The sequence below is a fragment of the Homo sapiens genome, chromosome 3 (assembly GCF_000001405.40).
Source record: "Homo sapiens chromosome 3, GRCh38.p14 Primary Assembly".
NCBI classification, from domain to species: domain Eukaryota; kingdom Metazoa; phylum Chordata; class Mammalia; order Primates; family Hominidae; genus Homo; species Homo sapiens.
This window is the reverse complement of record NC_000003.12, coordinates 158517512-158540556: the sequence shown is the minus strand read 5'-3', so window position 1 is coordinate 158540556 and position 23045 is coordinate 158517512. Positions and strand designations below refer to the sequence as shown.

The window sequence follows — 23045 nt, the reverse complement described above, 5'->3', positions numbered from 1 at the left end:
AAAATACTCTAATTTTTATTCTAATGGAAGCTGATCAGCATTCATAGGACAGATTTATTCCCTCATGGACAAAAGGGGTAGATATCTGAGGGATAGATATCTGGGCAGTCATGTATGTTTAGGAATTCTTACAAAGTAAGAGAAATCTATAAATTATTTTCAAATGTTAAGATGCTTATGACTACTAAATCTAACAATGATGCCAGTGTTAATGATAATATTAACTTTTATAGACATTTAAATAAATATTTATTCAATTTGTTTTGGCAGCTTTATTCTCATATTTTGGTGTCAGCAATTTTTTTTGCCAAGTCTCAAACATTTGTATGTCTCCAACACACTGTGCCTAGATGGTTTGTGGCCCTAAGTGATATTATACTGACCCTTTACACAACTGAGAACATTTAAAAAGCCCAATATTCTGCACAAGTGCAAGTGGGAAATACGCTAATCCAAGAGGTTCAAGACATTGATTTTTGGTAGTCTATACTGCCTTACGGGGACTGTAAGAGCATATCATTCTGCGTATCTTAGCCATGGCATGATAGGGCTTAGCTAGGAGACACTTTTCATGTTAAACTGCCTTAAAAATATGTGCAGTGCTATTATTCTAGTTATCAAAGATGTGGATACCACCTCTTCAGGTAGCAGAGATAAGATTCTACCATATAAACCAAGCAATCTCATCTTGTTTTTACGTACACAGTACATTAAGATTTCTTTGAGAAGTACTTACACATAATAGAAGGTGAAGCTCTCAGAGGTTAGATCAGAGCATGGAAGTTATTGTTTAATAACGGGCAATTAAAAATTTGTAGAGAGAACCACTAATTGCTTCTTTATTTAAGTGAGAAAAACTGTAAGATAAAATTTTCCCTTGACTATAAAACAAAACCTCAAAATGGCTACTATGAAATATATGGCTTTGAGTAGCGCTGCCACCTGGTGGTTTAGTTTGTAAAAATTAGTACTAAAATCTACTTCCAAGTAGGCCAAAAGACCATGCTGCATAGGGGTATTTACCCTTCTTTTGAACACAGGTGGGTATCTGCCAGATACAACAACATTAGGGTTGAATAACTCATACTAAGTTTGAAAACAAGCTGCATCTTGGTTCCTCAATGATATATCAGGGACTATCAGATTCTCTATTTACTCAGACAAAAGAAATACGATTTCAGAGAGTAAAACTAGTTAAATCAATATGTGTTGCAGGAGACACAATGTCTAGCATGTCACTGGTAATAGCCACTTTTCTGGTAAAAGCTCCCTAGCTTAATTAGTGGAATTAACACAGCTAAACAAATACGGTACCAACTGAAGGGGTGGCCAGCATACAAAAGCCTTTTTTTAGGGATACAAACTTTATATCAAAGTGTATAAAACTGTCCAGGAGAAAAATATGTTGAAACTAGGATCATGGGTAACTCAGTCCTCAAGAGAGTTAAATCCTTGCTATGCATTAGGGATAGTCCATCATATCCTTCCATGATCTGGATAAAAGGGTCCACAAGATAATTTACCTCCTTTTGCTAAGTAATCTCCTCATTAATAATTCAGCTTCTTGGGCATCCTGAATCCTTGCCTTATATTGCAGATATAGATATTTTAGAATCTAGGAAGGGATATCACTTTCTAAAGTAATAAACTGTCCCTTTGTTCTATATTTCAGTCAAGTGTGAATTTATTCATTGTTAGACTATCACTGATCTTCTGATCATTTTGAAGTGTAGTGACTAATAAAAGTCCAGTAAGACTTCAGACTACTGTATATTCACCAAGATAAATGCCACCTTATGAAGCTTTATAGCATATTCTCCTGTTAGCACCACTTCCTACCTTTCAATGCATGCTTTCTTGGAGGCGTTGACTTGAAAATAAGTTTAAAGGGAAAAATTAACAATTAGTACCAAGTGAGAAAGAGTTGTTTAGTAGAAAACCCAGTGTATTGACTGTGGAAGAATAAGCATTTCTACAGAATGAAAATGCTAGTTTATCATAAGAGAGTCCAATAAAAACTGGGATGTCAGGGTAAACTTCACAAACAAATATTAGGAAAGCAAGTTTTAAAATAAATCATAGTAATTCCATTAGGATATATGAATGGCCTGATAATATGTAAGAATAAGATTAAATAAAATGGGCAACTACATTTATGAATGTCTATTTCACAGCCCCATTTTTTTAGGAGTTGTGGTGGCAAACTATCAAAAGTTCAAAGGAAATCAACAAAATGGCAACGCAAGGACCACAGATTATCCAGGGCTATCTGGTCCTATGCCTAACATGTAGTATATGCTCAATATATCTCTCCTGAATAAATTATTTTAAAAAGTATATGGTAATTGAAAAGACTTTAATCTCACTAATAACAAAAGAAGTGCTAATGGAAACAGGCCAATTTTTACCTATTAGGTCAGTAAACATGAGAAACCCGATAGGATTTGGTGTTAACCAAGATATCTGTGGGAGGCAGATATCTCTTTGAACTTTTGGGTGGAATTTGAATTGGTAGAATATTTTCAGAGGGTGACTTGGAAACATGTATTAAAACAATGTTAGCCTTTAACAAGTAATTCCATCTTAAAATTTTATTTTAAAAAGATAATAAACATGTACTTAAAATCTCTGAAGTTAAAACTACTTATTTGATAACAGAGGAAAAATAACCATCAGGAGACATCAACAGGATATTATACAGCCATTAATACAATTTATGGATGTAGAATATTTTAGAGTGTTAATTATAACCATATTTTCATTATATGAATGTTATTAAAGAATACATGTATTTCCTAGAATGCCTTTTCCTACTATAGAAACCTAATTCCTAAAAGCAGTCCTACTAATGAATGAAAGAATAAAATATTCAATGGAAGTAAAATGTCAATCAAAGCTCCTTTACCACAGCCAAATAAGTGATAATCATCTGGGCAAAGAATGAAGATATATGTGACAATATGGGTATTAGTTTTTATTATTAAAGCCCTTTTCTAACTTTTCTCTAGCAATGTCAATTCAAAAAGTAGATGTACACATTTGAAAAGAAAACCATGTATGTTAAGAAATGTGCATTACTGTTATAGAACTATCTTGTTGACATATTACTTAGTATTCTTGGTGAATTTAAAAATAAAAATGACATCTGACACATTTTATAGCATTTTTTATACAAATTAAACTTGTATTAAAGTGACTGAGTCTCCCTGATTTGTTTTCTCTCTCTCAGCAACATGGCTGACACTCTCTTGCTTCACTTCATCTATTAGAAGAAACACATTTAAGTAAAATCCATTAATAAAGCATCTCTTCAGGTAGAATCCAAAGGTTTACTCATAATGGGTGGATAAAAACTTACCTTTTTGACTTCTTTACTTGATCTGAATGTCTGCTGAACAAAAGAATCACTTTCAATAGCTTCAATTTCTTTTACTCTTTTTACTTGTTCTACCAGGGTGGCTTGGTCTGAAAAAGAGGGTATAATGTCAGCGTATTTTGGTGTAAGCATGTTAATAACACTACACCTAAGCAATGTTCTTTCTATGAAGAAATTTAATTGGATAAAAAGACATTATAAATTAAGCTATAACAAGAAACTCTTTTGTTCTGAGATCCACAAATATAACATTCCTATGAACTAAGACTTATACTCAAAACCTAAAACACTGCTAAGAAGGCACTGCCTTAATGATCTCAGCTAATCTGGTGGGAGGACTTTTTCTTAAACTTTAGCATTTTATCATGGAAATACATATAAAAGGAATAAGGGCACAGTGAATCCACCTGTACTCAATGCTCAGCTTCTATAACCATTAACTTTCTGTTATTCTTATTTAATCTATCTATCTAAATCCACCTCAATTTTTTTGGGTGGATCTGATATATTTAAAAATAAATCCCAGGCATCACACCATTTTATCCCTAAATATTTTAGTAGGCATCTCCAACAGATAAGAACTTAAATAAGACAAACAGTAACTTGACAATATCATTTTCACAACTAAAAATATTATCAATAATTCCTTAATTTGATTACATATATAAATATTCCATATTTAATTTTCACTAATTGTAAAAAAGTCTTTTTATAGTTGGTTTGAAATAGGAACCAAACAAGGTCCACACATTGCACTGGGTTGGTAAGTACCTTAAGTCTCTTTCTATCACTTACAGTCCACTGCCTTTCCCTTTCATTGCCATTTATTTACTGAAGAATCTGAATCATGTATCTTATAAAGTTTCTAGATTCTGGATCTGGCTGATTTTATTCTAATGATATTCTTTAACATGTTCCTCTATTTCCCATGTTTTGTGTAAACCACTAGTGAAACCTATAGGTTTAATTACATTAAGGTTCAATTTCTTTTGGTGAAGAGTATGTCATAGGTGACGCTGTGTCATTCCTACTACATCATATCAGGATGCACGTTTCCTACTTTTAGTGGTTAAGATTGATCATTGGGGACAAGGTGAGTCAGTCTGACCCCTTAGAAAGTTCTCCATTAATCTCTCACTTAGCAAATTAGCAACATTGTTTGTTGCTTTGAGCCATTATTTCATCAGAGGTTGTAAAATGGTGATACTCTATCATTCTTCCCACATTTATCAGCTGTGATTTTTCTATAATGAACATTTCCTCATTAACTATTCAGTGACTGTGAAATACAGCCTATATAGAAAAGTCCCAATAAATGTTTGATTCTTTCTCTTTATTTATCAATTTTGGTCCAAAGGTGACCAAAGATGATCATTATGAGTTCATGAATATTTGTTTATTTAATGTACTTTAGTCCATGGTAGTCATTTTCTTATTTTGATGCTTCAATTGCTTCATTTTTGGGTAGTAGGATCCTCTTGAAGTTGATTCCTATATCCTTTCAATATAATCCCCAGTAGTTATGGCTTAATAATAGTTGTAGGATCATCTTGAACAGTTTCTGTCCCAGACCTGAAATTAGCCATTTCTCCAAAGAATCCAGGCTCTTTATAATGGAGAATAATATTTATAGACAACAATCTGGGTACTAGGGGTATTGTTACTGAATTGTCAATGCTTCTGAACCTCTTCAGTACGTGAGATATGAAGTACATACTTTTAGAAGGAAACAGTTAATATGAGTTCATGCTGATACTACCAATCAAATTAAAGATTTTAGGATTTTGAAAGTCTTTTATTTTATATTTGTACATCTTTTTTCTTACTCTAAAAATCTTAGGCTCTAATGATATGACCAAGTGTATTTGTTTTTCTTAATATGTATATGTATTACTTTCAAAATAACAGGACAAACATTACTATTAATAACAAGATGTATTAACACAGTTTAAAATTTTGTTATGGTCTTTGACCTTAAGATTTATTCTACTGCTGAAATGCTAAAATACTACGCTCTAAAGTCATGAAATAATTCTCTGCATAATTATGCTATCAATTTGATATACAATTAGGTTTATTTGTTTCAGTTAATTGAAAAAATATTTTAGGTCTTACTTTGTGATTAATATTCATTTTTTAGTTGCAAAAAATATTTACATGATTCTAAGGTCAAAATTTAAAACATCATTCACAAGTCTAGAATGTCCCTAGTTCTTACTCCAATCTAGAGGTAACCATTTTTACTAAGTTTGTGTTTACCCCTCCATTGTTTATTTTTGAGAATATAAGTATATTCTTTTCTTGCTTACATAAAATTAGCATACTACATACTACTATGTATCTTACCTTTTTCACTTAATATTTCTTCACTCTCACTCCATAGCAGCTAAGAGAGTTCTGCATTCTATTTTATAATTGCATAGCATTCTATTTTATAGTTTGATGATAGGTTTTTCCACGAATGGCCTATGGATGGTTAGTTGTTTCTAGTCTTCTGCTTTCACAGTTACAGCTTTAATAAATAGCCACGTGCATGTGTAATTTCGTATTTTTGTATTTTCATATTTTTATATTTCAGTTTTTTCACATGCTAGCTGGGCAGAAAAAATGTAACATAATGACTTACACCCTTGCTGTTTAAATTCATTTTAAGCTGATATGAAGACATAGTTGAATTAGGATTGATTGTATACTCAGCTAAGGCACTTAAAAATTTTGGGATTTAGGGTTCATGGATAATAGTCACATTTACTTAACAATAGTAATAAGTGGTTTGACACGAAGGTGGAGTTTTTTGCAGCAAACTAATTTTTATAGCAGCTTTATCCTTGAAAGGTTTAATGTTGTTACAGAGATAAATATAAAGAGTATTAAAGGAAATTTGGTTTCATACATTCAACAAAAATGTTATCTGAAAAAATCTTTGTCTCAATTTTTGACCAATCACAATTTATAATGATTATAGTCTTGTGCAAGTTCTAGTCTATTTGTGGGAAAGATGGCTCTTATGAAGATGTGTCCCTGACAGCTGAAACCAGTCTTTTCTCTTGTGAGAAATAATCAGATGAGAATGAAATGCTTGCAAGTAGCAGCCACCACAGCCAATACTCCCACCTTTGGAAGAATATATCTTCCCACATAATAAAACCAAGCACTGTCAGAGTGCCATGTAAGAGTAAATAGTCCCACATGCTTTATACAATGAAAGCTCCTCTAGATTTTAATTATGCAATGTACTAATTGAGCATGTGAAATGAGAGAAGATTCTTTGCCCAGCTAATTTATTAATATTAACACATCCCATACAAGTAGATAAATTTTTTATTAATTACATATATAATAATGTTAATATGGCAAAGGAAAGTCATAATGGGTACTAGTCTGTGTAATCCAACTTCAATGTCAATATGAAAACTACATTTGTCTGTATAGGTCTTAGTTAATTTCACTAGAATTATTTCACAGTCACTAATTCCCAACCAAAAGACATTATTTCTGACTTCAGGATGATGTCTCATATGAATGAAATGTTGGACCACTTGAATTTTTTCTCTAAACATATTCTCTATTTGGAGTTGTAAAGGAAATCATTAGTATTAAATGTCAGAGGTGACCTCACAAACAGTACTTGATGTCTAAAGCTTGCAGTGTTTGTAGCTTTAAATTTGGACATACAACCAGCTCCTAATACAAATAAAAGTGTTATCATAGAGGCTTGCCAAAACCAATGCTTAACAAAATAGCATTGGAAAAATTATAAAGGAAAGAAGGAGAAAGATTACAGAAAAACATCATTATCTTTGTGTTTCTTTAAAGATCACTTCAGAACTAACAAAGTGACAGAGCAGATAGGAGAAAGCCAGTTTGCCTTACTCACAATATGAAAATACACCAACATAGCTTTTTTGTTTCAATGTGGGAATCATTTTACTGGTTGTAAACGCATGTTAAATTAAAATTTGAAAGATTCACAGGAGATTTACATTTTCAGCTTTACAGTACCTCAGCTCTATTGTATGAAAATAGACATAAAAATGTTTTAAATTGCTTCTTACTCAAAATTCTCATGTCAGTGACCACAAATGTATGTCTTGAGTATAACCCTGTCACTTTGGGAAGCAGAATAAAACATATCAATAATATATATTACGTTGTTTTAAATTCAGTTTCTTAAGTTTTTCATGTCAATTTGTCATTTAACAATTTTGTGCCAATTTTAAGATTGGGAAAATGTGATTTAAAATGAGTTATGGTTTATATGTGCTGCATAAATGCCCAACACACACAGTATCTTGTATTCATTAGCCATGAAGTAAAATTAAAGACAAGTAACAAAGTTACTGGGAGAATTAATATGGGATGTTTTAAAACATTTACATGGTAAACATGAAGGAAACACACCATTAGTACTTGATGATTTTTTAATAAACATATTATTTGTAAATAAAATGTTTTCTGCTAGATGTTAATGGAAGGGATATATACTTCATAGTAAAATAAAAAATAATAGACTCAGAAAGCCAAGTCATTACAGACCACAATAATCAATACTTAACTCAAAGTATAGAAAATCACTTTCCTTTTGTGATGAAAAATTTTTAAAAAATTGTATTAGTTACTGTTGATGTTTATAGTATAAAAATTAGGCTCTCCTGCTTCTTCAAGTTATATTTGACAATTTCACATTTTATAACACAGAGTTTTCTTTTAAAATACCAAATGTTATACAAATTTTAAAACTAGTAAATAAAGATGACAAGGTCCATATCAATCTTTCATTTGAAAAGAAAATTTTAGTCTTTTCATACTGCATTTGTAGATTACAAACATAAACCAATCTCCTCTAATAACAATGCCAGGCTGAGAACTGAAGATGGCACTATTGCCCCAGATGTGATCATGACAAGTAACAACCAGCAACTTCAACTGACTCCTTTTAAATACTAATATTTTATGAATTTTCCCAAAGATGCATTTTATGTTACAAAAAATTTGGGTCAGTTGGCCCCACAGTTACTGAGTTACTTATGTTACTATTCCAGGAAAAAAATATATACTAATAATATTGCTACAAATACATAAATAATACAAAAGATTATCTTATTTTCATATTAAATTAGCTCAAATTATAGTCAACAATAAAAACATTAAAAAAATTCCTTCTTATGTTACAAGACAGATAATAAAAAACTTTGAAATGTAAAGTATTTTTAAGTGCTTTACAAGAACAACAAAAAAGCAAACAACAATATGTTTGTATGGTAAAGCTGGCTATTCAATAAAATTTGTGGACAAAACATCTCATAAAGCTTAATTGGAATTCTAAAGTTTTAAATTTCTCATGAACACAGGTTTCAAATAAGTGAGCACATCCAATTGTTTTCCCTTTCAAAACAGTACATTTTAAATGTTTCTTTTAAAACACATACAAGGCAAGCATTATAAATCTATCCAACTCCAACATTTTGAGGTTGTTCGAGACCAATATCACCGAGAACAAATTTCCAGAACTGATATACACAAATAATTTAAAAGATGAGAAAACTCCTTAAGTGGAATAGGGCTTTTCTATTAGTCTTCTGGGAAGCTTATGCTACAGGACCATGTTACATATGCGGACGAGGCTCCTGAAGTGTCTGAAAGGAACTCCACTTTGGACGGGATCCAAGACAAACTCACCTTAAACTGCTTACTATATCAGATTAAGTAATAGGAATAATGTTAATGTGACTGTATCAATGAAGAAGAATTTGTTAAATATTTCAATAAGTGAAAGTGAACTGGGCATCAGGCTAAGCTTTATTAAAAACAAAATCCACACTAAATGTCTCATTCAACTCTTCTCACCTGGAATGCTCTCACCTTCTCTTAATCCTCCCTGTCATTTAAGGCCATGCCTGATGTCCACTTTGTGATGATGCCACACCTTGCCACCTGTGAGTAAAAGGGCCTCTTGCATAATTCATTTGGCTTTTAGCATATGCTGCCTTGCAAATCTCTTCTTGAGTGAAAGCTTCTTCTCCCCAGCTAGAGGGGACATACCTCTTTGTGTCACCTCCAGAACTTAGTGGAGTGTGCTTTATTATCTAGTAAGCAGTCAATAAACATTTGTTGAATAACTGAAATTTAAAGGGCAGTAAAGTTACCATTAAAAAATAAAACTTCATGGAAGAAAATGTCAAATTATAAAAAGTTTTTGTAACTTAAAAAATTAAATGTCTTTCAGTGGTGAGTTTTTTTTTTTTTTTTAAGTTTCTTTTTTTTTTTATTTATTATTTTTTTTTTTATTATACTCTAAGTTTTAGGGTACATGTGCACATTGTGCAGGTTAGTTACATATGTATACACGTGCCATGCTGGTGCGCTGCACCCTCAGTGGTGAGTTTTAAGGGCTCTGGGTTTGGGCTATCTGGGTTAAACCCTGTCTCTGCTATGTACCAGCTGTGTGGCTTTGGGCAAGTGGTTCAAGAGTGTTGGTCTCCATTTTCTCATCTATGGCATGGAGATAGTAATAGCCTAAACATCATAGGGTGGTTGAGAGATTTCCCCCCCACATCTTCCCTCCCTCCCTCCATCCCTCTCTTTTCAAATAAGTGAGCACATTCAATGTACCAGGCATTGTTCCACATAGTAGGACTTGGAAATGAATGAGAGTTTCTTCCTTCATGAGCTTATGTTTTAATGAGGGAGACAAATAATAAACAAGTAAATAATATAATATCAAGGAAAATAGAGCAGGCTAGAGGGCTAGAAAGGAGGAAAGGAAACTATTTCAGATGGGGTAACCAGAGAAGAACTCTCTGACATGGTGGTATTTCAGAAGGCAAAAATGATGTGAAAAAGCAAGCCACAAAAATCTGGGAGATGATAACCTGTGCTCCACACAGCGATAGGGAAGCATTAAAAGCACTTAAGAAATGGTAGCAGATACAGGAAGCACAGCATAAACAAAAGTGCTAATTTAGTAACAGTACTAAAGACACGGAAGTTGGCTAAACAATTCTTATATAAATCTGTATATTTCTGACAGTATGGTTTATAATAAGCTGGCAATATTCTTGAGTTCAGGCAAGTAGAAAATGGCTTTAGCTCATACATCTTCTGGTAAACCTGTGGTGTGCCAGGATGTGGAAATGATAGGAGGAGGAGAGAAGGAGTGGAAGCAGTGGAGGACAGGCCTGTGCACATCTATGAGAAGGCACAAAAGGCCCAGCTGAATTTTACCACCCACCAAGGCACTGGAGTCTACCATGATTCACTGAATGCTCTGGGTTGAATAGGAAAGTGGTATTTTGCTGACATATGGTTACCCAGGCTTCAGTGACTAAAGAGATGGGAGATCTTGTCACTTCCTAATGGATGTCTTATAACACAAACTACCCAAAATGACAGTTAGGCGGTAGAAACCATGTTTTAAAGCAAACATATTTTGTTCTGGTGTATATATGTCCACGGAAATTTTTGTTTTCATCATCGATATATGTAATACCTTTCCAGTGGGGAAAGTCATAGAAATGAATTTTTCATTTAAGTCATTGTTTAGAAGGCCAGATGAGCTGTTCTGGTAGCAGAAGTAAGTAATAGTAACAGCAATAGAAATTTAAGGCACTCTGCGCTGAGCACTTCACATGGATTACCTCATTTAAATATCATGACCATGAGGAATAATACTGTTACCCTCATTGTAAAGATGAGAAACTGAGGCTAATAAATAACTTGGTGACAGCCACATGGCTAGTTGGTGGTACAACTGGGATTCAACCCCTGAATTGTGACTAGTCATCTTCCAGTCAAATGAATTCTTTACCCACTCCTGCCAAGCAACAATTTATTTTTTCCCCACTCCATCCATTTATAATAAGTAATAAATATTCTTGATATTGTCCTTATTCTGCATTTTAATGCTTACTCATTCAGTAAAATACAGTGTAGCTTTATTTGTAGGATATATATATATATATATATACACACACACATACATATATACATAAAATATATATATTTTATATAATATCTTACTCTTCTGGCATTATCTTGAACTAGATTACAGATGTGCATTTTCAGAATCTTTCACATTTGAAATTTTTAAAGGGATATATATATATATCACATCTAGAAAACCTTTGTAAATGAATTTAAAAAGTTTCTAAAAACCTAGCATTTTTTTCCCTTAAGCCTGCAAACAACCTAAGTAGGAAATTGTCACTTTAAGCTGCTCTTTATTTACTGTTCAGCAATTGTTACAAAAAACAAGAATGGTTTCCATGAATTTGGTTAAACCAACAACCACTACATAGTCCCAAAATATAGACTACTGCCTTATGCTTATTGCAAATGTAATCAACATTGATAGTCAAATCCACTTTAATAGAGTGGTAAGAATTCATAATCCCAACAAAACTAAAGCTACTGGAAGTTTTCTTATTTTAATAGGGTAGGAAAAAGGAATATAATTTGATGTATACCAGATTAATAGGTCAGAATACAGATTCTGCAGTTGCTGTTTGCTGTCCATTTTAATTCTAGAATCCTTATCGACTCTAATTAAAATTCTGTAGATGGAAGAGTTGTATGTTTCTAAGGAACTTGCAGTGAATGCTGTCTGCCAGCCATCTCTAAACACCCCATAACCACACACAACTCGCCTGTCAGGAGAGCTAATGCAGACATCGCAGGGCACACCACATTTGTCACTGTGGCTAATATCAGAGATACGCAGCTCTTTTTTCTTAGCACACAAAAGCAAGATATGTAATTCAATGCTCAATTTACCCTTGTCTCGCAGGAGATTTTTCCCCGCTAATTGATAGAAATTAAGCCATTAATCAAGCCACTAGCCATCATTCAAACCAGGAAAGATGAATACAAACTTTCATCATAACCACCTTCCCCATTTTAGTGTTCATTAGCATTAATTTTTAATGCAATTATGCTATTCTTTTACGCTGAGCTCATAAATTACTGCTCTTTTGTTGCTGGCTGGCCTTGTAAAATCCAAACTAATGCTTTGTGCTCTGATCTTAAAGGCAATTACTAGGTTCTTCTATCTTTTATATCTTTGCATCCCCAATAACCTTTATATATAATGAACATCCATGACTGACTATGCCTGTTTTTTTAATGCCTCTATGTAAATCTCTATGAATATATAAATGTAGTCAAATGTGTCTAAAATAAACATATATATACACATACCACATACATTACAAAATACACACATTAATATAAAAAATCTCACAAATTCATATTGAAGTTCAGGTTCAAATATAAAGATATTGTTATGATTTCTCATGATAAAAATGTAATGCATTATTGTATAGAAGTTATACTTTTTATAATGAATTAGGGAAAAGAGGAATATTAATTGTGGCTAATTATTATACATATTTGCAAGGGTGGAACAGCTACTAAAAACAGAAATAATAACTTTGAATTTCAAAACCCCTTAGTTCTTTACCCAGGTTTACTGTCTCATGTTTAAATCCTTATTTTTAAAAAATTGTGTTGAAACTTGAAAATCAATGAGAAGGAAATGAGGAGTATCAGAAGATTGGAAAAACCACTTATCTAAAGGTGTGTTTTTATAAGCACATATAATAACTCCAGAGTCTTATATTTTACAAAGTGGATGTATTGGTTTATTAGAGGATGGTAGTAAAATGAAAAGAGTTTCCAGAAATAAATATTGAACCCAGAGGCAACATATCTACTTAGTTCTCTATTCTAGAGAAGGCAACAAGATGTATTCTGCTTATATTCACCAAAAAGCATTGATTAGGGTCACTCCTATGTGCAAAGGAGATTTAAAAAAAAATCTCCAACTCTCTTCTTGCATCATCCCATTAATGTCTTTGCCTCTGTTTGCAAGTTTTTATGTCTGGCCACCCACTAGCTAGAGAAAGGGTACATGTATGGCATTAAGATTAATGAACTAAAACTTGCTGGAAGATGTTAGCAGTGCTGATGATGTTGGTGCCAGCCCAGTCAGCTTGGAGTTACATAGTTGCAACCTACCCCTAACACCATGGGGCTGGGAGTATATTCAGAAGCGGCGAGTATATTCAGAAGTCTTCTACCAGTAAAAAAAAAAAAAAAAAAAAAAAGATTTTGAACTATTAACTTCTTAAGATATAGATACGGTGATGACTGACTTGAATTAATCTTTTATTTCCTCTCATGGTTAATTCTTTACTAGTTTTCATCTTTAATAAAAAGTCCTACATGGATTAGAAGCAGTTAGGCTAAATTCTATAATGACTGGATTCCCTGAACCAGGGGACTTATTATGCAAGGAAAAGCAGACAGCTTAAGTCCAAGTCTTTTGTGATCTGTTCTTTTGTGATGTCAGAAGCAAATGGATACCTAACATAATTGTATTTGAACATTAGTCAGTATAAAGTTATGAGTTCTAATGTCTCTTCTTGTAAGCATATTATGTTTCGGCTCATAAGCTTAGAGAAAATAGTCTATGGCCCCATGTGCCTTAATTTCTCTGAACAGAGCCAATAAAAACACTGGGGTTCAGAAATAGGAAATTAATTTAGTTAACATGTATTTATGCCAGGTGCTAGGCTAGGTGTTGGAGATTTCTGGTTGAGATTTCCAGTTGCTCTCTCAGAGTTCATTGGCAAATCAAACTAATTCTTATTTAGAACTTTTATCTGCAAGCAGTTAAGATCTGACTATACAGTGGGTAGGAACAGGGATTTGTTGTGTTTGCAAGTGCCTTAGCATGTTTCACTTGATCCTAATTTTTGGTAATACGTAATATACTCATTTCTAAGTTTAAGATATACTATTAGAGCTAGATTTTGGATATGAAACCAAGTCTTAGTACTTCAAACATCCTCTACGCTTCCCATTGCACTAGGCTGCTCTGTAGCCTTTCAATCTTTGATAACCTTACATGATTAATAGTTATGATTTTACGTGCTTATTTTATCAATTTTATGTACAACTTTGATCCTTTAAACAGAGGTGGGGTAGGGAGGATGGTAGAAGATGTGAGATGATGTTAATTTCTCTTTTCTAAAAGCAGAGTATTTTGCTATATCAATAATGAAGTGCATCATATAAAATCATAAGGTTTAAAGAAACCACCAAATACTTCAAATTGCACTTACAATATTAGCTTTACTGAAGTATAATTTATCTATAACTGTGCCTATCAAAGCATACAATTTGGTGAGTTTTGGTACATGTTAATTCTGTGTTACCACTACAACAATCAATATATAGAACATGTCCATTGTTACCAAGAATTTTCTTGTGTCTCTCTGTAGTCAATTTCTATCTCTACCCTGACCCCCAGACAACCACAGATCTGCTTCCTGCCACTTTAGATTAGTCTGCATTTTCTAGACTTCCATATAAATTGCATACTCTTTTATATCTGATGTCTTTCACTCAGCATAACGTTTCTGAGATAAATCCATGTTGTTGGGTACATCTGTGGTAATGCTAGTAGAATTCTATTATATGAATATCTGCAATTTTTAAAATCTATTCACCTGCAGATGAACATTTGGGTTGTTTCCAGGTTCTGGCTTTTGAGAATAAGGTTGCTATAACATTCATGTACAACTCTTTGTGTGAACATGTTTTTATTTCTCTTGGATAGTAAATACTGCCCTAGTACTGAAATAGTTGGGTTGTATGGTAGACATATGTTTAACTTTGTAAGACACTGCCAAACTGATTTCCAAAGTGGTTATACCATTTTATGTTCCCAACAGCAGTGTAGAAGAGTACTGGTGCTCTACATCTTCATCAACAGTTGGCGTTATCAGATTTTTAACTCACAGCCATTCTAATTGGTGTAATGTATTTCACTGCTGTTTTAATTTGCATTTCTCTGATGACTAATGATATTCAGCATTTTCTTCATAAGATTATTGGCCATCCTTTCTTTTCTGAATGATCTGTTGAAATCTTTTCTTCATTGTTTAATTGGTTGTTTGTCTTATTGAGTTATGAGTTCTTTATATATACGGAATTGAAGTCCTTTGTTAATACATATTGCTAATATTTGCTTCCATTCTATGACTTGCCTTTTTGTTTCTTAATGGTATCTTTCAAAGAATAAAACTTTTTAAGTTTAAGGAAGTATAATCTATCATTTTAAAAAATGGTTTGTGCTTTTTGTGTCTTATCCAAAAAATCTTTGCATACTCAAGGCTGCAAAAATTTTCTTCTAGAAGTTCTATAGTTTTAGCTTTTATAATTAGGTTTATAATACATTTCAAGCTAATTCTTATGGGTCCCGCATTTTTCTGCTGTGAAACTAAAGCTAATTCTTATGTATGATGTGAGGTAAGGGTCAATGTTTCTTTTCCTCAGTAAGAATATCCAGTTTTTTCAGTCGCATTTGTTGAAAGACTTTCCTTTCCCAATTGAATTGCCTTGGTAGTTTTGTTGAAAATTAATTGATCATATACATGAGGGTTGAGCAAGGTCTCTCTACCCTGCTCCATTGTTCTATATAAGGGGTCTTAAAAAGTTCATGGAAAATGTACATTATAGAAAAACGGTATGGATTTCAATTTTGTCTGCACCAAAATAAACTTGAATTAACTCGTCATAACATGTCTGAACAGGATCTAGTTTGAGGGACTAAGAAGGGTAAGACATCAGTTTGAAAAGAATCCTTATCAGAATATGAATTCTGCAAAGATTGAAGCAAGAACAAACATTAAATTTATAATGAAGCTTGGGTGAAAGAATGGTGAAATCATTGATGCCTTATGATAAGTTTATGTGGACAATGCCCCAAAGAAATCAGCAGCTTACAAATCGTTTTAAGAAGGGATGAGATGATATTGAAGGTGAAGCCTGCAGCAGCAGACCAGGCACATAAATTCGCAAGGAAAAAATTCATCTTAATTGTGCCCTAATTGAAGAGGACTGATAATTAACAACACAAATAGCCAACACCACAGCCTAAACCACAATTCAATTGGTTTAGCTTATGTAATTCTGACTGAAAAATTAAAGTTAAGCAAACTTTCCAATTGATGGGTGCCAAAAATGTTGTGCCCAGATGAGCTGCAGACAAGAGCAGAGATTTCAATGAAAATTACTAACAGGTGAGATGAAATTCTTCAAAGAATTGTAACAGAGGTGAAACATGGCTTTGCCAGTATGATGCTGAAGACAAAGCACAATCAAAGCAATGGCAACCAGGAGGAAGTGGTCCAGTCTAATCAAAAGCAGACTGGTGAAGAGCAAAGGTCATGGCAACACGTTTTTGGGATGCTCAAGGCATTTTCTTGTTAGCTTTCTGGAGGGCCAAAGAACAATACTTATTGAGAATACTTTAAGAAAATTGGCCAAAGCTTTAGCAGGAAAATGTCTGGGAAAGCTTCACCAGAGAGTCCTTCCCCACTATGACCATGCTCCTGCTCATTCCTCTCATCAAACATGGGCAATTTTGTGAGAGTTTTGATGGGAAATCATTAGGCATCCACATTACTGCCCTGATTTGGCTCCTTCTGACTTCTTTTTGTTTCCTAATCATAAAAAATCTTAAAAGGCACCCATTCGTCTTCAGTTAATAATGTAAAAAAGACTTCATTAACATAGTTAAATTCCTAGGACCCTCAGTGTTTTAGGGTTGAACTAAATGGCTGGTATCATTGCTTACAAAAGTGTCTAGACCTTGATGGAGCTTCCATTGAGAGATAAGGTTTATATTTTTTATCTTTTAATTCAATTTCCATGAACTTTTAAAAGTTCCCTCATATGTCTATCCCTATAGTAATATATAGTCTTGATTACTGTAATTTTATACAGTAAGTCTTAAAACAGGGAGTATAGACATCTAACTTTTCTTTTTAAAAATTGCTTTAATTATTCAAGGTTGTTTTCATTTCATGTAAAACTGATTCTGAGTAGAAACTCTGCTCCTACTACTTTATGTTGAGATTTAGCATTAGGATGCAAAGTATTATATATAATAAGATTTAAGTTCAGAAATAAGTTGAAATACAAATGATTAATAAGAGACTTTTCATAGTTTGCTAGGTACAACACTTAAAAAATGCCTATCACTTAAACCAACTTTAAAAATAGTGTCTGGAAATGGATCAATTTATAAAAATGTTATTGCTCACAAATAGATACTGCTATTGCAAATCTTTATTTCTTCTGATTTTAGAGCCAAAAGTTGAGTCATGTTCATGTTACTTTATAAAGTAGTTGCCACATAAGGACATAATGGTCTAAATGACTAAAAACAATGTTGATGCCAAGTTTTTTCTTTTTTGGTCAATGAGTGTAGGCTGGAAAATGTATTCAGGTGTCACTGATGACAGAAAAATCAAAAAGGAGAATAAAGAATGAATGACTAATAGAGAAGGCAACTTTTCAGGGACTTTAAAGAACTTAGGGTGAGCATATATATTTAAGAGTCTGAACCATGAGGGAAAATTCTAACTGTCCAGGGAAAAAAAATGAAGCATGGAGAGATCTCAAATCAAATGGATGAATAATCTGCACTCCTCAAACCATTATTTAAGAAGTAATATACATAAGTATACTAAACTGTGTTCTGAAATCTGCAATTATAATCTCCTTTCCATTTGGTCGTCATTTTGACGCTACTTTATCCTCAATTCAGCTTTTTCTTTCAAAGAAATGCAAATAATATTCTTGGCTTTTAATCAAGACAAGCCCTAAATGCCATATTATCTTTATCATGAAAGTAGGGTACAGCTGGATGCAGCGGCTCATGCCTGTAATCTTAGTGTTTGGAAGGCTGTGGTGGAAGAATCACTTGAGCCCAGGAATTCAAGGCTGCAGTGAGCCGTGATTGTGCCACTGCATTCTAGCCAGGATGACAGAGTGAAACCTGTCTCAAAGGGGAGAAAAAAAAAGTAAAGTAGGCCTTGTGTGTTTTTGTATGTTGAAATACAGTTGGCCAAGCTGTATCAAGGAATATATATGATTATTATTTATTGCTGCTTATTTTGGAGAAGACTGAAATCTTCACAATGTTATGAAAATTATATGATAATAAGACCTATGAATTCTATGCAAAGCTAATTTTTTCAATTAAAATATTCTGGTGAGACAGCTTAATTATTTCATTTAAAAAATTCTACTTCAAGAAAAAAAAGAGTAGCAAACTTTTCAGCTGGAAATCTCAATCAATAACGATCCTACCCTTTATAAAAACAGAGAAAAGTTTCTATATTTTAATGTAATTCTAATACATTATCATATCAATAAAGCAAATCATTCTAGTCCCCACATTTGCTAGATTAAACTGAGACATATATAGAGCCATTCAGATATAGGAAGCATAGCATAAACAAATAAATAAAGGAATTAACAAATGGGAAGTGAGATTATATATTTTAGCCCATTCCTCAGCACCTTTGAAGGAAATCAGCTATAGGAACAATATTATTATTAACCATTAATTTGTTTTTACTAAGTGTTTTTTCATGACAAATACAATGCTTTAAGTCATAAAATTGCAATATAATAAGGCAACTCCAGCTCTATTTACAAGTGAAGTAAGTGACTGTGAATATTAGTGCTCTAAGTTCTAGCTTCACAACTAATGATATAATCTTAGGCAAGTCTTCCCATTAAATTTACATCCTTTTTTTGAGTAAAGATATGGTGTATACTAAAGTGCAAATATGATCTCTGGGCAGAGGTGGCATTTCAGCAGAGGTGAGTTTGTTATTTCATAGAAGAAAACAGGGCCCTGCAACATTGAAAAACTTGGACAAATGAAAAATCCAGAGGATGAGGAACTAATGGAAAGATCAGGATTGTGTGGGTGCTAAACCCTGGGGATAAGGCAGGACAAGGGGTTCCGAAGATGTGGGCAGTAGAAGGAAGGAGAGTAAAGAGACAACAAATAGAACATGTACAACAGTCTTGAACTTCACATGGAGATCTGCTGGTGACTAGCGTGGGATGACAGTGGCTCTAGGGCATAATCTCTAACCATAACAACATAATTTCTAAGCAATCTATTAATATTTCACTTATTTTAATTCTTATGGAGTCATAACATTAACTACCACCAATAGGTGACTAGTCTTCTAAAAATATGTGATCTTCGGGAATGGAGAGATGGTAGTGGCAATCATTCTGTTATGTCTCAAAATTTGGGCAGAAAATGTATTAATCCATACAGATGGAGAAATCTGCAAACCTCTTAGGTATGTTTACCAGTTTGTAGTATCTGTAACTACATAACCAGGGAATAACCAGGGAATTCTAGTTATGTTAGATAAGCATGCCATTTCAATCCAAGCAAAAAATATGGGAATAAAATTCCAACCCATGAAGACTAAGACTGATTATAAATAAAAATTTTATATATACCCACATACATAGACATGCATAACACACTTCTAGGTCTACTTAAACTCATTTAATAATCACAAAACTATCACATAACAATGTTAGCAATAAACATAAACCTTTGAAAATGAAACCACTGCAAATCCACAATTAATTTGAAACATTTCAAGAAGAGTTTTTACAGGCTGACTCAGGGCTTGATCCTGTCAGCCAGATGGACATAGGAGGTCAATATTCCAGAAGCAATAAGACAGTGATTAGGCAGACAGTAAAAACAATTCCCTGGAATCAATTACTGTCCAACACATCAGAAAGTCATTTGACCCAAATACTCAGGAAATGGATTTAAAAGATAATTTTCAGTGTCTCTTTGCTGCCCATTTCTCAAAGTCTTCTATAGTAAACACATTCAAAAAGCCAAGTACTACCTTAAATAATCTCTGACTGCAAATAGTCTGTTCAAAAGTGATGACTACAAGAAGGATTCTTCTAAATAAGACAAGTTTAATTGTTCCTCCATGTGCTGATTGCTAGGAGAACATATTTATTTCTTTGTGTCTGTCTAGTCAGAGACACTGTGAAGCTGTAAGCTTTAAGAAAACCTGATCTTGTCCAAAAGGTTATCAACCACTCTGAAATTCTGCTACAAAATAGAATGGGCCAATTTAATTTTCCAAATTAAATTTGGAAAAGTGGAAGATACTTGTTTACCTCTCATAAGAATTTCTAGAGAGTATTTAAAAACTACCTTTGACTGTCCTTGAAACTACTCAAGGCTGACCTTAATAGAAGGATTCTATTTCTATTTCTTCTCCAGTCCGTCATTCAACAGAAGTGACCACTTCTTCATTCCTGAAACTTTTTTTTCATTTGGCTTCCATGACATCATACACTTCTGGTTTTCCTTTTCCTCACTGGTCACAATTCCTCATTTTTCTCTACTGGCACCTCTAACATTAGAGTACTCCAAGGCTCAATGTAGGCTCCTTTCTCTTCTTTATCTATATTCTCTCTCTAGGTAACATATAGTTATAAACACCATTTGTAGGCTGGTGACCCTCAAATCTTTAGCTCTAGCCTTAACATCTTTCCCAAACTTTAGACTCATATGCCACATCTTCAATTCTTCTCTCTCACCCCTTAAATTCAAAGCATCACTTTTAATTGGCCTCTTAACTCATTTAGAATAAAGTTTACATTTTATGCTCTTACTTACGAAGGCTGGTATAATCTGGCTCCTGCTAAACTCTTTAACCAAATCTCTACCCCTTGCCAAACTGGCCTTCTTCAGGGTTCTTAAGCATTTGAAATTTATTTTTTAGCTTATAATCTTTACAGAAGGTGTTTCCTCCATCTAGAATGCTCTTTGGGTGGCAAGTCCCTCCTTGTTATTCAGATTTTAGCTTAAATGTCAGCTCCTTAGGGAGACCTTCCCAGAGCACTCAGTCTGAACTAGCCACTGGTCCCTTTCTAGCACAAGAGATAGTAAAGAAAACACTGGTCACTCTCTAATACGAGAGAGTAGAGAAACCGCTGGTCACTCTAATGTAAGAGAGTAAAGAAACCAGTTACTTGTGAGGCTATTACAGAAGTCCGGGCAAGAAATGGTGAACACCCAGACCAGGGTTAGCACAGGAGATAAAGATATTTGGGATGTAGAATTAACAAAAATTTGTGGAAGGTAAAAGAATTATGAAAATAAAGGCTGATTTCCAACTTTCTGGATCAAGCAACCAGATAAATGATGGTTCATTCATTACAACGAGAAAGACCTGAATGGGTGTAGTTGAGTTCAGTTTTGAAGATGATAACTTTGAGATGACTATATGTTAAAACAAAAAAAAAGTCTTCAAGTCTGGAGTTCGGAAGAGAGAGCCTGTACTTCAGATAAAAATTTGGAAGTAATAAGTATACATATTCACACTAGTGAAAAATGATAAATTCACCTGAGATAGAAAAGAAAAAGACTGAGTTCCTGTAAACAACACTTGGAAATCAAGAAGAAGAAAAGGAGACAGAATGGTCACGCTGGTAGAAAAACCAGATTCAGTACTATGTTATATAAACTGAAAAAGAGGGTGTTTCCAGAAGAATAGTGTGGTCGGTTGAGTTAAATGCTGCTCAGAGTTTGCATGTGATTAGAAAAATTATACTAGATTTGGAAAATTAGAGAGTATTGGTGATTTTGACAAAAGCAGTTTTAATGGAATGACGTTAAGTAAAATTGGAGAGGGATGGTGGTTAAATGAAGACTTCTGTTTCCCAGATTATGGAGGATATGGATATATGATAAATTAAATGATACTTCTACCGGTACTTCTAAATGATACTTCCATAACAAGAATATTAAATATTTTTAAAAATCAAATTAAATGTATTGTTGAGATCACAGGAAGTTAAAAGAAAATCTATGACCCAAAATGAAGAGTTATAGTAGTCCTTTAACCCATAAAGAAATTGAATCATTTGACAAAAAAAAAAATCTTTTATAAACACTATACTCAGAAGATTTACAGAAAAGTTCTATCAAACGTTCAAGGAAAAAATAATTTTGATGTTACACAAACTGACTTCCTAATTCATTTTACTAGGCTAGCACAATCTTGCTTTTTAAAACCCAGTCAAGAACAGTACCAAAAAAGGTCACAGAAGCAAATCATGAATGCAGATGCAAAAAGGGTATGGGAGTAAAAAAAAAAAAAAAAAAAATATATATATATATATATATATACACACACACACACACACACACACACACACACGCACGCACTTACGTACATATGCATAATTTATATAAAAATAAATGAAATCAAATTGTATAAAAATAGATAATACACCATAACCATGTTTGGTTTATTCTAGGACCTCAAATTTAGTTTAACACAGAAGATATATTAATATAATTAATAACATTTTGGGATTAAAAGAGAAAAATTAAACTAAAAAAACTAAAGTCAGCTGGGTGTGATGGCCCATGCCTATAATCCTCACTTTGCGAAGCAGAGGCAGGAGGACTGCCTGAGTCCACGATTTCAAGACCAACCTGGTCAGACCCTGTCTCAACAAAAAAAAAAAAAAAAAAAAAAAAAAAAAAAAAAAAAATTAGCTGGGTGTTGTGGTATACACCTATAGTTTCAGCACTTTGGGAAGTTGAGGTGGATCACTTGTGTCCAGCAGTTCAAAACTTCAGTGAGCCATGATCATGCCACTGCACTCTACCTGGGGCAACACAGCAAGACCCTGTCTCTAAAAAAAAAAAAAGTCTAACAAAACTTACTATTTACTTGAAGTTGAAACAAAATAAAAAAGGAAGGAAACATCTCTGATCTGAAGCAAAGGGAATCCA

General features: G+C 33.3%; 1 protein-coding gene and 1 long non-coding RNA gene across 5 annotated transcripts in view; both read right to left on the bottom strand.

Annotated features, from left to right (window-relative positions):
- The window catches only part of RSRC1 (arginine and serine rich coiled-coil 1), a 435642-nt gene that overhangs the window by 5174 nt on the left and 407423 nt on the right, over nucleotides 1–23045 (bottom strand). For all 4 annotated transcript variants that reach the window (NM_001271838.2, NM_016625.4, NM_001271834.2 and 1 more), the window contains one exon: nucleotides 3359–3465. In NM_001271838.2, the coding sequence (NP_001258767.1) occupies nucleotides 3359–3465 (107 nt within the window). The remainder of the gene's footprint in view (nucleotides 1–3358; nucleotides 3466–23045) is intronic.
- On the bottom strand, nucleotides 11983–13849 carry UC.134 (long non-coding RNA uc.134). Its single transcript, NR_148407.1, has one exon. It is a non-coding gene; the product is annotated as a long non-coding RNA uc.134 (long non-coding RNA).